Source organism: Homo sapiens, chromosome 20, assembly GCF_000001405.40.
Source record: "Homo sapiens chromosome 20, GRCh38.p14 Primary Assembly".
NCBI lineage: Eukaryota > Metazoa > Chordata > Mammalia > Primates > Hominidae > Homo > Homo sapiens.
The window spans coordinates 13,731,955-13,746,736 of record NC_000020.11 but is presented as its reverse complement, the minus strand read 5'-3'; the positions used below and the strand labels follow the sequence as shown (position 1 = coordinate 13,746,736).

The window sequence follows — 14,782 nt, the reverse complement described above, 5'->3', positions numbered from 1 at the left end:
AGTGTTTGAAATTGACTTAGAAATGCTGTTTAGGTTGTACCCCAGCCTCAGTATATCCTTCTATATTCATAGCTTCTGTGGACAGGAAACTCTTCCAGGGAAGAAAATGATTAGGCACCCTTGAATGTCAAGCCACCAGTTTACAGGTGGATTTTTCAAATGCAGTCTGTAGGGCCTGCTTATAATGAAATTTGGGATAGCATTAACAGTTTATTGTGATTACAGAAAGAGCATAGAGGCCTCAAAGTCAGAAAATTTAGGTTTAAGTTATCATTTTGATGGGGAGTAACTGACAAAGAGGCAGGTGAAAGCTGTTTAGCACACAGTTGTCAAAGGGTGAACATTCTTTTACTGTCTTTTAAAAAATGCTTATACTTCATTGTGGGGAAAAAGTCATAGATTAAAGAAATACTATGTGTGTATATATTTATATATTAAAGTGTGTATTTACAGTTTAAAGAAAAATAAAATGGGCTGGGCATGGTGGCTCACAACTGTAATCCCAACACTTTGGGAGGCCAAGACAGGCAGATCACTTGAGGCCAAGAGTTCAAGACCAGCCTGGCCAATATGGTGAAACCCCATCTCTAATAAAAATACAGAAGTTAGCCAGGCATGGTGGCACACACCTATAATCCCAGCTACTTGGGTGGCTGAGGCTTGAGAATCTCTTGAGCCCAGGAGGTGGAGGTTGCAGTGATCTGAGATCACATGCTACTACATTCCAGTCTGGGTGACAGAGCGAGACTCTGTGTCAAATAATAAAAATAAAATGAACACATACAGCCACAGACATTACCAGTGTCTGCAGTCCTCTGTGTGACTTCCCAGTTATGTATTAGTCATTCTTTTTCTTTTCTATATAGTTTTACCGCAGATACATCTATTCCTAATAGTCTATTTTGTAGTTTTGTTAATTTTGAACTTTATAAAAGCATCCTCTGTGTATTCTTGTCATTTGCCTTTTTAAAAAGTAAACATTCTGGGCCAGGCATGGTAGCTCATGCCTGTAATCCCAGCACTTTGGGAGGCTGAGGTGGGCAGATCACCTGAGGTCAGGAGTTTGAGACCATCCTGGCCAACATGGTGAAACTCCGTCTTTACTAAAAAAATACAAGTTAGCTGGGTGTGGTGGCAGGTGCCTATAATCCCAGCTACTTGGAAGGCTGAGGCAGGAGAACCGCTTGAACCCGGGAAGGGGAGGTTGCAGTGAGCCAAAATCTTACCGTTACACTCTAGCCTGGGCCACAGAGCGAGACTCCATCTCTAAAAAGTAAAAAATAAAATTAAACATTCTATTTTTGAGAGTTAGCCATATCCATATATGTGTATATGGTTCATTCATTTTCATGGCTACAGAGAATTCCATTGTATAACTTATCACAATGTATCTGTTCTATTGCTCATTATTATACTTTATTTCTGTTATGAAACAGTGCCTTTGTGAATATTCTTGGATGTATCACGAAGATACGCATGGAATTTCTTGGATACATGTAGAATTTCTTGGTTGTAACATGCTCGTAATTACCTCTACTAGGTCATGTGTTTTCCCAAATGCTTGTGCCATCTTATACTCTCACCAGTAGTGTGAGTTCCCATAGCTCTTTATCGTTACCTTTAACTGATATTATCAGGCTTTTTCATTTTTGCCATTTGAGTACATAAGTAATGGTGTCTCATGGTTTTAGTATGTGTATTCCCAGATATTGAGAGTTCCTACTGTATACCAGACTCTGTTCTTGTCATAGAGTATTGAACAGAATAGACAAAGGTCCAGGCCTTCAATGGGCTCTGCAGTCTATTGTGTGTGGCCTGGGGAGGGAGAGAAGTTAGTAAACAAATAGGCAAAATATATGCAATCTCAGGTGGTGATTAAAGCTTGTGGAAACAAAAGCCTAAAGCCTACATGGGGAATAGGAAGTTTATGGTTGGGAATGAGTAGCAATTTAAACTGGATAGTCAGGGAAGGCTTCACTGCTACAGTGACACTTCAGCAAAGACCTAATGGAAATGACAGTAGTCACCATGTGTTATCCTAGGAAAGAGCATTTCAGGGAGAGGAAACAACAAATGCAAACGCCCTGAGGGGGAAACATTACTGATGTGTCCAAGAATAATAAGGAGGCCAGTGTGGCTGGAACACAGTTAGCCAGGGTATGGAAAGCAGAAGATGAGGTCAGAGAGGCAGCCAAATCACAAAGGGTTTTCTACATCTCTGGGTGGACTTTAGCTTTCACCCTGTGTGAGATGGGAAATGGAGATGATGTCACCTGACTTCAGTTTTTAAAGAAATACTTAGGCATTTCCCTGGTTACTAATGAGGAGGAACAGTTTGTTTTTCCTCATATGTAGAATGTCTATTCATGTATTCTTTGTCTTATTGATTCTGATTCCTAGGAGTTCTTCATATATTCTGGGCTGGTCTTTTATCAGTAATGTGTTTTACAGGTGTCTCTTCCTGGTTTGTGATTTTACTTTCTTTATAGTGTCTTTTGAAGAACAGAAGTGTGATATGGTCAAATTCATTAAACTTAACCTCTTTATTTTTAAGTATCTCTGGTGTACATAATTGGAGTAATCATAATCTATAGATTAAGACAGTCTCTCATCAATGGTCCGGCATGGGCCTCTTTTTATTGATTGGTTTGTTTGTTTGTTATAATGAATAAGTGAACCCACCACCCACTACGAAAGCTAGAACCTTGCAATAACTTATATTTACCTGTTTGATCCTCCCCTGCCACTCCATACTTGAGGAAACCATTATCCAGATTTCAGTATTTATTCATTTACTTTCCATTGTATATAGTTTTTTAAAAATATTTAATTGACAAAGATTGAATATATTTAAGCTATACAGTGTGATGATTTAATATACATATTCATTGTGTAATGATTACTACGTGATATTAACACATCCATCACCACCCATTCTGTACGCTAGATCCCAGAACTTATTCATCTTGTGACTGAACATTCCTATTTTTTGACCATCTCCCTATTTTCCCCACCCTAAAGCCCTTGGCAACCATTGTTTTACTCTTTGCTTCTGAGTTTGACTTTTTTAGATTCCACATATAAATGAACTCTACTAGGTATTTATCTTTCTGTGTCTGCCTTCACCGAACATAATATGTTCTCTAGGATCATCTGTGTTGTCACAAATGGCAGGATTTTCTTTTTTGTGGCTGAATAATATTTTGTTGTATATATGTACCACTATTTCTTTATTAATTCATCTGCTGATGGACACTTAGGTTGTTTCCCTATCTTGGTTATTGCGAATAATGCTGCAATGAACATAGGGGTTCAGATGTCTCTTCAAGATACTGATTTCATTTCCTTTGGATATATACCCAGAAGTGGGATTGCTGGATCTTATGGTAGTTCTGTTTGTAAGTTTTTGAGGAACCTCCATGCTGTTTTCCATAATAGCTGTACCAATTTATAATCCCACCAACCGTGTACACACCCTCACCAGCATTTGTTATCTCTTGTCATTTTTAAAATACCCATCCTAGCAAGTGTGAGGTAATACCTCATCATGGTTTTGATTTGCATCTCTGATACTCGTGATGTTGAGCACCTTTTCATATACCTGTTGGCCATTTGTATGTCTTCTTTGGAACATTGTATATAGTTTTATATAACTTATAAATATTCTTAAGAGATAATGGGTACATAAAAAGGAATGAAGTGCTGATACATGCTACAACATAGATGAACCTTGAAAATACTACGCTAAGTGAAAGAAGATGGTCAACAAGACCACATATTTTATCAAAAGTATCCAGAACAGGGAAATCTATAGAGACAGAAAGTAGGCTAGTGGTTGCCACAGGAGGGAGGGCGGGAACAGGGTTTCTTTTTGAAGAGATGAAAATGTTCTAAAATTGTGGTGGTATTTGCACATATCTGTGATATTAAAGTTGTTAACTTTGTTAATGTGGGAGGAAGTGTGGGTGTGTTTGGGATACTTTTAAATCATTTTGGGACTGATTTTTTTTTCACTTAATATTATATTGCTAAGATTTATTTTGTGTAGCTGTAGGTCATCCATTTAACTTCTATACTATAGTTTGTATATTCATACTCCTGTCACATTTCAGTTGTTCTTAGGTGTTACTATGATGAATCATGCCATTAGGAACATTTCTATGCATGTCCCCTAGTACACGTTTAAGTTTTTCTGGGTATTTGTGTTAGGAGTATAATTGCTGAGTCATAAGGTATATGAATGTTGAACTTTTTTTTTTTCTTTTTGAGACAGAGTCTCACTCTGTTGCCCAGGCTGGAGTGCAATGGCGTGATCTCAGCACTGCAACCTCCATCTCCTGGGTTCAAGCAATTCTCCTGCCTCAGCCTCCCAAGTAGCTGGGATTACAGTCACTCACTACCACACCCAGCTAGTTTTTTTGTATTTTTAGTAGAGACGGGGTTTTGCCATGTTGGCCAGACTGGTCTCAAACTCCCAAGTAGCTGGGATTACAGGCGTCCACCACCACACCCGGCTAATTTTTTGTATTTTTAGTAGAGACAGGGTTTCGTCACATTGGCCACGCTGGTCTCGAACTCCTGACCTCAGGTAATCCACCCGTATTGGCCTCCCAAAGTGCTGGGATTATAGGCATGAGTCACCACACCTGACCATGAATGTTGAACTTTATAAGGGTGGTGATATTACTTGACATTTCCACCAGCAGTACTTGATTTGCATTTCTCTTGTCACCAATGAGATTGAACATGTGTTTCCTTCTCTGTGAAATACTAATAGATGTTTTTTGGCCATTTTTCTGTTGTACTGTTTGTGCTTTTCCTGTTGGCTTTTAGCAGCTCTTTATTTACTTCTGATACTGATCCTTTGTCTTGTATAAGACAGCTAATATCTTCTAATTTGTAATTCCTCTCTTCTCCCACTTTCTTCTGTCATCTAATGAACAAGAATACTTGATTTTAATATTGTCAGATTTATCTTTTATAGTTAATATTTGCTGTTTTATCTAAGAAACTCTTTTTTGTCCAGATGAGAAGAATGTTCCCTTTGATTTTTTACTAAAAGATGTAAGGTTTGGGACATTTAAGTCCTTGAGTTGTTTTTTTTAATATGAGGTAGGGACCTGATTTTATCTTGTGCCATATAGAAAATCTTTTTTATCTTGTTCCATTTGTTGAATAATCTCTCCTTTCCTCTAGTAATGTGACATGTCACCTCTCATGTACCAGAGTTTCAGAACTGTGGGTTTGTTGCTTGGCTCTGTGTTTTACTGGTCAGTTCGTCTGCCTATCCCTAGACCAGTACCACACTTCAGAAAACTGGATGAAGAACATTAACGACCACCACATCTAGCCCACCTGTAGGCCAGCTTGTATGGGGGTTCTGTGAAGAAAATGAACTAAAATGCAAACCAAAAGCAACAATTGAAAGGACTGTAGTATGTGGTATCCTTGGTGGAGAGCCAGGTTTCAGTTAGAACAAGATAAAGAAAATGCTCAGAGATATAATGAGATTCTGCTGATGATGTACTGTGAGTTCCACAGAATTTAGTGATAGAGAGTTGGCAGGGAATGGGGCAGAAGAATTGATGTATTGTTACCTTCTGGGGATGAGAACATGGGATATTAGGGGGACAAGATGATTAGGGGCTTTTTGCAGTGACCAAAATGAATAGGGAGAAAAGGCATAAATAGATTATTCCTGGTGGGATGATTCCTGGGGGCAGATTGTGATAGTGAGGCTGTGAATATTGAGGATTAGGGAGGGAAGGGTATTGGCTATTATCTTGGATGCACCAAGCCAGTCCCCGTCTTAGCCTCTTTCTGGGAAGGGGCAATTTTACTGTGAGCTCACAAGACTTCCTCTTGACTCCTGTGCAAGTCAGGAAGCCAGTGTGACTAAAGAACAAGTATTTTAATACCTCAGGGCCCACTTTTGAATCCTGTCAGGAGAGATGTGGTCTTGCTCTACAGTGTTGTCTTGGGTACCTGGCTTTTAACATATTTTAGGTGTTCTAGAGTTGCACTCTGATGTAGGTCATTTTTTGCTTGTTAGCTTTAATCTTGCTTGGAATTAAATACCCAAAATACTGAAGATTATCATCTTTTGTTAGTTCTGAAAACTTTTCCACCATTTTCTCTTAGAATATTACATTTTCCCAATCTTCTCTGTTTTCTCCTTCTGGAAATCCTGTTTAATATGTGTAGTACATTCTAACTCTGAATCTGATAACTCATATTTTCCATCCCTTTGAATCTCTACAACGTGCTGGGTAATTTCTTCACTTTTGTTTTTCAGTTCATTAATTCTTTCTTTACCTCTGTCTAGTGTGCTGTTTATTTTTTTTCTAGTCTTATCCTTTTGTTAGTCTGATCTTTTAATTTCTTCTTTTGTTTTTTAAAAGTGCTGATATATATTTTGTATCTGATAATTCCAATATTCATAGTCTTTATGGTTCTTATAGTTTGTTTCTGTGAAGTTTGATTGTGATCTCATTGTTCTTGAATCTTTCTTTACCTAAGGGAATTGCAGAAGCCTGTGTCAAAAGTACTTCTTTTAAAAAATATTTGCCAGATGCCTGAGGGCACTTCCAATCCAACACCAATTGAAGCTGAGTTTTTGGATTGGATTATTTTGGGCCACACAAGTAGTGTGAATTCCAGCCACAAACCCAGGGGTTTGTGGTTATAAATCTATGGGGGAAAAATGTATTTTTACTTCCCTCTTTCTGCCCATAACCAAAGCCCAAACAGGCATGTGTTCTCTCTGATTTGTGGGGGAAGGGACATCACCCACTGAGAGCACCCTTAAGCATCTTGGCTTAATGTAGTGGTCTCTGCTGGGACCTCCCACCGTGATCAGGCTTCAAACTCTGTGTGCTGGCTTCTTGGCCAGCAACCCATTACAACCAAAGATCCATATAAGACCATAGCAGATCAGTGTTTGTCCCCAAGGAAAACTCCTTGCTTCTAATCTAGTTTGATATTTCCGTTTGAGCTTTCTTTTTTTTTTTTTTTTGAACTTTCTTACTGTGACTGGATTCCAAGAAATTCCTTTTGTTTTCTTACATCTAAAAGTTTTCATTTATTTTTGACCTTGTCCATAAACATGTATAAAAATAACAATAGAACAAGTAGTTCTTCAGTCTTCTTTGCCGTAAACTAATTAGCAGAATGACTTCACCAGACTTGGCCAGAATTTTAGTTTATCAGTACTAGGATAGCTTGATATTGTGTACATTGTGATTACAAACTACTTGAAAGACAAAGAAAACATACAAATAAAGTACAGGCAAATACAGGAAACAATAGCTCCCTAATGAGGCCCAAATGTTGTTTTGTATTTGAAGTTAGCTTTTAAGAATATTTGATTCTAAGAAGCAGGGGCAGCTTGATTTACAGTAAACTAAATATGATTGTAAGTGGAAGACATCATTTCAAGGGAGAGTAAAAGGCGATTTGGAAGAAGAGTATGATAAGCTCAAATTCAAGACAAATGTAAAGCAATTTCTACCCAGTTAAATAGCTTTTAGACAATCAGCAACAAAAAAAAACGTGTTCATTGATCACATACTTTGGGCATATTTTCTATGGATGCTTCACTGAATGTTTTGGAAGATATAGAATTGAGGGTTATATAAGAAGCAATTGCCTATCTAAGCAGCTTCCTGTACCCTCATCCTTATTATCCTTATGACTGTGTTTCTGTATAACACTATTCTCATAGTGTTAAGTGCACCCAAAGAGTATTTGTTGGCTCTGCCTGATTGGTCATTTTTGCTATTTACTATTGTTCACAAGGCTAGTTATTTTACTTTTTAATTTTAAGCATTGTTGTTCCTAGTCTGTAAGGTTGGGAACAAATTTGACTCATTTTTTTCTTTTATTTGCTTCTTTATTCAGCAGACATTTATAAGGTGCGTGCTGTATGTCACACCTTTCACTGGCCGCTAGAGTTACCAGCAAGAGAAAAACAGGCTATGACCTTTGCCCTCATGGAGCTTGCAACCTGTTAAGAGAGATACCCATTAATAATAATTTTTACAATTCCACAAATGAATATATAATTCCAACTGTGACAAATGCTAGAGAATAAAAGACCATAGTACTGTAAGAGTTTAGGAGAGGCTGGGCACGGTGGCTCATGACCGTAATCCCAGCACTTTGGGAGGCTGAAGCAGGAGGATCATTTGAGCCCAGGAGTTCAAGACTAGCCTGGGCAACATAGTGAGACTTACGTCTCTATAAAAAGTAAAATAAATTAGCTGGGTATGGTGATGCACACCTGTGGTCCCACTACTCAGGAGGCTGAGGTGGGAAGATTGCTTGAGCCTGGGACATCTAGGCTGCAGTGAGCTGTGATTGCACTACTGCACTCCAGCCTGGGCAACACAGCAAGACCCTGTCTCAAAAAAAAAAAAAAGTTTAGGAGAGAGGGATTTACAGAAGTTCATACAAGAAATTGTAAGATCCTGAACCAAGTTCAAAACCCTTCAGATCTTCATATGTTTTATTTGAAAGATTGATCACTTGGCTTATCCAATATGCTTTAAGGATATCCTATGCACATAGTCACCCTACTTTACCAAGGAGGAAAAAATGGCCCTGGCAAAGATCCCGTTTACTTATCTGGACCAAATATCCTGTGACCCCTGTTATGTGAGTGAATGTGTCCTTCCTTCTCCCTACACCATTGGGGTGGAGAGTTTGAAGGAGTGTCTTTGATGACACTGTTCCTCAGGGCATGGCCAGTGGTTTTCCTCTAAAAATCCTTATACTCTGTTCGGCCAAGTGTGGTGGCTCATGCCTGTAATCCTAGCACTTTGGGAAGCCGAGGTGGGCGGATCACCTGAGGTCAGGAGTTCAAGACCAGCCTGGCCAACATGGCGAACCCTGTCTCTACTAAAAATACAGAAAAAATTAGTCTGGCATGGTGGCGTGCGCCTGTAATCCTAGCTACTAGGGAGGCTGAGGCAGGAAAATCGCTTGCATCTGGGAGGCGGAGGTTGCAGTGAGCAGAGATTGCACCATTGCACTCCAGCCTGGGTGACAGAGCAAGACTCTGTCTCAAAAAAAAAGCCTTATACTCAGAGTGGATTCCAAATTTGAAGTTTTGGTGGCAGTGGTGGTGGCTGGTTAGATTTTAAAAGCTACTTTTGGAATTGAGTGTTACAGAGTCAGGTTTAAATAAAGAGTGCTGGTTTCAGCCTATATCAGAAATGTTTAAATATACATTTTGTTTTTATAACCAAAGCCGATTATAGTACCTAGTGGAGTTATTTTAAGTTGTTCATCTCCTGCCCTTTGAAGACTTTTCAGATATTTCAAATGAATAAGGTAGGCAGAATGTATACTCTTATTTTTGTGTGTTTTGCAAGGATATTTAAAAATATTTTTATATGTATGCAAACTGCCAGAATAATTCTGAATGGATTGTGCTTAAATTATTATTGTCATAATTGAGTCATCTATGTTTGTGGTTGGCTGTGAAAGATGTTTTTGCCCCTTATTTGTAGGATTATTGATGTTATTTTTAACTAATTCAGAAGTCCTTGGATATGCACTTAAAATTTTTTAAACAAATTTGTGCAAAACTAAAAGCAGTTACAATGAAGTTGTTTTTCAGTCACATAGTGGCTGCTCTCAGAGGCTAAAACTGTCTCTGAAGAATGTTCTCGTACTTATGCCAAGAGGCTTCTGGGATGGGCATATTTTTAAGAACTTAGAACATAAACAGCTGTGATCTGTGGCAAGAGATTTAAATGACCTCATGATGACAACAAGAACAAAGCATTTTTTAAGTTATCATGGTGGTGTGTGAATTCATTGCAATGTGTTTCTTATGCTGCTATTTGGGTGTATTAAGTGAGAGCCAGGCAAAAAAAAATTACAGACTGTATTAAACTGAAGATACTGTTTCTTTATTGTTGTAAACAAAGTACCAGAAAAATATTATTTCCTAAGAATAAACATTTCACGAATTATTTTAGAGTTATAGGTCCTTTTCTTTTTTGTTTTTAACCACATGAACCACTTGAGGATCAAGGCCATTTATTTCGATCCTAAAGTTTTGATTCATTTTCTGTTAGAGAGAATATGTTCCAAACATGAAAGATCAAACAGATGGCTTGAAATAAGAATCCCTCCTTTAAGACAGATCAATTAAGTGTTTATTAAGTATTTACTATGTGTCTGGCACTATGCTAAATATTATGAAATACTAAAGAAGGTGACTTTAAGCTGCTTTTGGTCTAGTTAGAAGAAAGGACTGCTCAGATGAAACTTATAAATTGGGAAGACATATAATCAAGCACCAAGTAAAATACCATCACTTATGTGGTTCAAATATTGACATAGCCCTTTTTTTTAGAAATGATTTTTAATGATTGTCTAGAACAGTGATTCTTAGCTAGAGGTAATTTTGCCCCCCAAGAGGATATTTGGCAATGTCTGGAGACATTTTTTATTATTACACCTGGAGTTACTAGCATCTAGTGGATAACCAGAGATATTGCTGAATAACTTCCAGTGCACAGGATAGCCCGTCACAACAAAGAATTATCTGGTCCAAAATAACAATAATACTGAAATTGAGAAAACCTGATGTAGAACCTACAAATGTCAATGCTGTTAAGCTTCAAAGTTACAGGAATGGACTTTCATCTTCCCCCAGGCTAGACCTCTTCAGCTCCTATAAATGTTCTTTACCTTAAGCTCTTGGATCATTACACAGAGATGATCTTTGGATAGTCATAAACCTCCTGAACATTGGATGCAAGTTTTTCCAGTACAGTGTTAGAGTCCATAACTTTTATCAAAATCTCATGCTATCCATCCCTCCAAAAAAGGTTGAGACACATCAACCCAGTCCTCTAGTCACCTAAGAGACAACAACATAGAACCCTCCTTAGCATCATGGTGATTCAGAAGTAGAGCTTGGATCAAAATCAGAAAATAACTTTTTTGGTGAAAAAATTTCTATATTAGTTTAGTATTTTGAAGTAATACAATCTTAATGCATGAGGAAATTATAGTAGAATACTTCAAAGAGTATTATTTAAACATCATGTAATAATACAACACTGTACATTTAAAATTTTAGACTGAACTGATTGTGTGCTGACCTATGGGCAGAATACATAAATTATTTTGTTCTTTGAAATCAACTTGTTTTATCAGAATTTGCTGCTTTCTCTCAAATGAACATCCCAGTTTACATTTCTTAGGTGCTGTTTATCTGTTGAATCAGAGATCTAAACATGGTTTTATATTACACATTTCTCCTGAAAACTGTTTACTAAATGAATTATGTTTTTCTCATAAGAAACATTTTTGAATTGAGAATTGTGTTCTGATTTGGCATCCTGTAAGTTAGAGATCCTAACAGCAGTATGTCATAAAAACAAATCTGTGTTACCTTGAGTGTGCATATAGGTTAACATTAATACTTTTCTAAGCTATAGAAATTTGGAGATTAATTCTTGGGTTAAAAACCAAGGAAGGTCTTAGAGATCTGTTTCAGCTGTTTCAAACTGTTGGTTGAAGCTCAAGGCCCAAAAGCAGTGTTTTTAGTTGTTTTATATATTTTTACTTTTACCAAATGTTTTGAGGGGGGGAAATCAGTGCACGTGGGAGGAAAGGGTTGCATACTTCTGATCTAAACCATTCATTTTGCAGATAAGGAACCAGAGGCCCAAAGTTTTAGATTTTATTCTTGGGCCATATATTTCTTCATTCTGTAGGTCAAACTAGCATTTTAGATGTATCTGATAATAGAAGAGAGGATGACCAGGAATTCAAAATTTAGCTGTGCAGCTTCCTACCTCCATGTTCTTAGACAAATTGCTAAATGTTCTCAGTCTGTATATACTCATCAACAAAAGAGAACTGTATTTAGTATCGTTTCTACTTTCTTAGAATTTAGAATGTATCTGAGAAGATGATCTGGTTTGATGATGTCTCTTTTTTTAATGAATTTTGTGTCATCTAAATATTTAAAGATCCACCCAACTATGTCCTCTAAACACTACTACAAAATAAAAAACATCTTTATTATCAAAGGGGACAGCACAGTATTTACATTTCCTTTACTTTGGCAATAATGAGGGTCTTTGTAAATGGATAGATCAGCCTTAGGGCTTTTTCTCCCACCTTGTTACCCCCTCTAGTTATTGCATAAGATACCTAGAAACGTGAATCGGGAACAGCAGACTATAGGAAGAAAGACCTTTTGAGATGAAATATAAGAGCAAATAGCAGCATTGAAAGAGCTAAACCATATGATGAAATGGAATCTGAACTTGGTGGTCCTTCTGATCTTTTCTATGAGGCCTCACAGAATGCTTGAGAAAAGATTGAGAATCCTTTGCTCATGGGATATTTCAACAGGGATTCCTTACTAAACAATTTTTGTTCAAAACCTGTAGTTTGCAGAGAACATAGGCTTTCACTTGGATGACAGAAGCAAGTGGGGATAATTAAAGACAAGAAAAGCCACTTGTCTTTTGCTACAAAAATTAATTAGTATCCTGAGAAGAATTAGTTCAGAAGTTTTCTTAGCATCTCAAAACAGAAAAGTTTAGAGAAATGAAGGCTGAGCCTAAATACAGTATTTTTCTTTAGTGGCTTGACCATGTATCAAGTTGCTAGGTTTGTTTGTTGGTTTGTTTTGATTTTGTTTGGTTAGGTTATTGTTGTTTGTTATTAGGAAATAACTTTTATAGAAGTTGGTCCTATGTCACTGTATGATATTGGGGTATTACAGATATTTACCATTGCATGTTATCTTTGTTACTCTATTAAATATGCATAAATTATATTTGTCTTTATAAATTATATGTTTAAGTGATTGCCAGACAATAAGACATTTTAAGCTAAACTATTTGGATTTTTCCTCAGGTCTTAAAGAAAGTGCAGAAGAGATGGTCAAAAACAAATTGGAAGGAAAGGATAAACTGACCCCTTGGGAACAATTTTTAGAGAAGAAGAAAGAGAAAAAAAGACTGAAAAGGAAACAGAAGGTATCATTGATAATTATGACCAAATGTTTGTTGAATACCAACCATATATCAGATGGTACCAGGTGCTTGGAATCCATTATCTCAAAATGTAACCACTCACTGAAGTAGGCCTTGTTATCATCCCAATTTTAAGAAAGAGGAAAGTGAGAATGCAGAAAGTTTTTTCATCATGGCCACATAATGGTGTACAAAGCCTGGTCACAGTCCAGAGCCACTTCAACTGCTGCATTCTGACATTTTACATTTACATGCCACCTACGTAAAACACATAGTTAATATCTAGATATAAGCAGTATGATTCTGTTCTGTGTTTCTGAGCAAAAGAGGTACATACAGACATTTTTCCTTGAGGATATATGCACATAGAGGTTTTTAACATGAGTGAAATTATGCCATACTTTCCATCTGTCAACCTGCATTTTCACCTTACAGTATTATCTTATGGCTCATCTGTCACCTTATTGTCATTAAATTCCTTTATCAAGAGTATTTCCTGGCTGGGTGTGGTGGCTTATGCCTGTAATCCGTGCACTTTGGGAGGCCAAGGCAGGTGGATCACCTGAGGTCAGGAATTCAAGACCAGCTTGGCCAACATGGCGAAACCCTGCCTCTACTAAAAATGCAAAAATTAGGTGGATGTGGTGGCGCGCACCTGTAATCCCAGCTACTTGGGAGGCTGAATTAGGAGAATCGCTTGAACCCAGGAGGCAGAGGTACAGTGAGTCAAGATCGTGCCACTGCACTCCAGCCTGGGCGACAGGGCAAGACTCTGTCTCAATAAATAAATAAATAAATAAATAAATAAATAAATAAATAAGAGTATTTCCTCTGTGTTAATGTGGTTTCTGTGGACAATATGATTTGACTCATGTTGTTCAGGGAATAGCATCTTTTCCAGAGTTTTCCAGAGTCCTCAGTAATAGTACAGATCACTTAGGTTTTTGCCACTAAAAGTGCTCTTGTGACTGAAATGCAGCATTCTGGAAGTGGTGTGCCTTAGAGCGTTATTACTGATAATGACAAAATTTTGCAGCTTGGGGAATCTTAAAATTATTAATTCTAGTCCAGCCCTGTTTTATAGTTGTAAAAAAAATTAGCTGATTAGTCTGAGGTTACATAGCATACCAGTGGCCAAGCTGAGACCAGAATCCACAGTTACTCAGACCAGTGTTCTTTCTTCTGTTCCCCACTATACTGTTTCTATACTGTGTGTTCTTATAATGCTTTTGGTATAGCTTTGACTTTTAGTGCTGTGACGGGTAGAGAGATGCAAAGCTGAATGATGCAGTGGAGTAATTTTTATACTTCTATTGTAGTCAGTGTTTGTGGAAATGGATAGTAAAATGGAGAAATTGGGTGTTTTGGGAAAAACTCTTTCTGACTTTGTTTTTCCTCTGCTGTCACACTACAACTATCAACACAGAAGAAGACTTCTGTGACCAAATGGGTAGGGAGTTTTCTCCACACACTAACCAGTGGACACCGGCTGGGTGACCTCCAATTCCAACACTACCTGGAGATAGTGTCAGATCCCATAGATTGGGGGCTCGGTCCCCAAGACTGCCTCCACCCTTTCAGACACCAGTCTGAAGTCTGGACATCCAGAACTTCTGATTGACTGGCTTCAAGTTGGGGTTCCCACGACCCCCTCTTTAGGTTCAATTAATTTGCTGGAGTGGCCACAGACCTTAGGGAAACATTTACACACATTTGCTGGTTTATCATAAAGGATATTACAAAGGATACAGAGGAAATAGGGTAAGGTA

General features: G+C 37.7%; 1 protein-coding gene across 3 annotated transcripts in view; it reads left to right on the top strand.

The window, feature by feature from the left end:
• The window catches only part of ESF1 (ESF1 nucleolar pre-rRNA processing protein), a 70,595-nt gene that overhangs the window by 38,183 nt on the left and 17,630 nt on the right, over positions 1-14,782 (top strand). For all 3 annotated transcript variants that reach the window (NM_001276380.2, NM_016649.4, XM_017027874.3), the window contains exon 10: positions 12,895-13,016. In NM_001276380.2, coding sequence (NP_001263309.1) covers positions 12,895-13,016 — 122 coding nt within the window. The remainder of the gene's footprint in view (positions 1-12,894; positions 13,017-14,782) is intronic.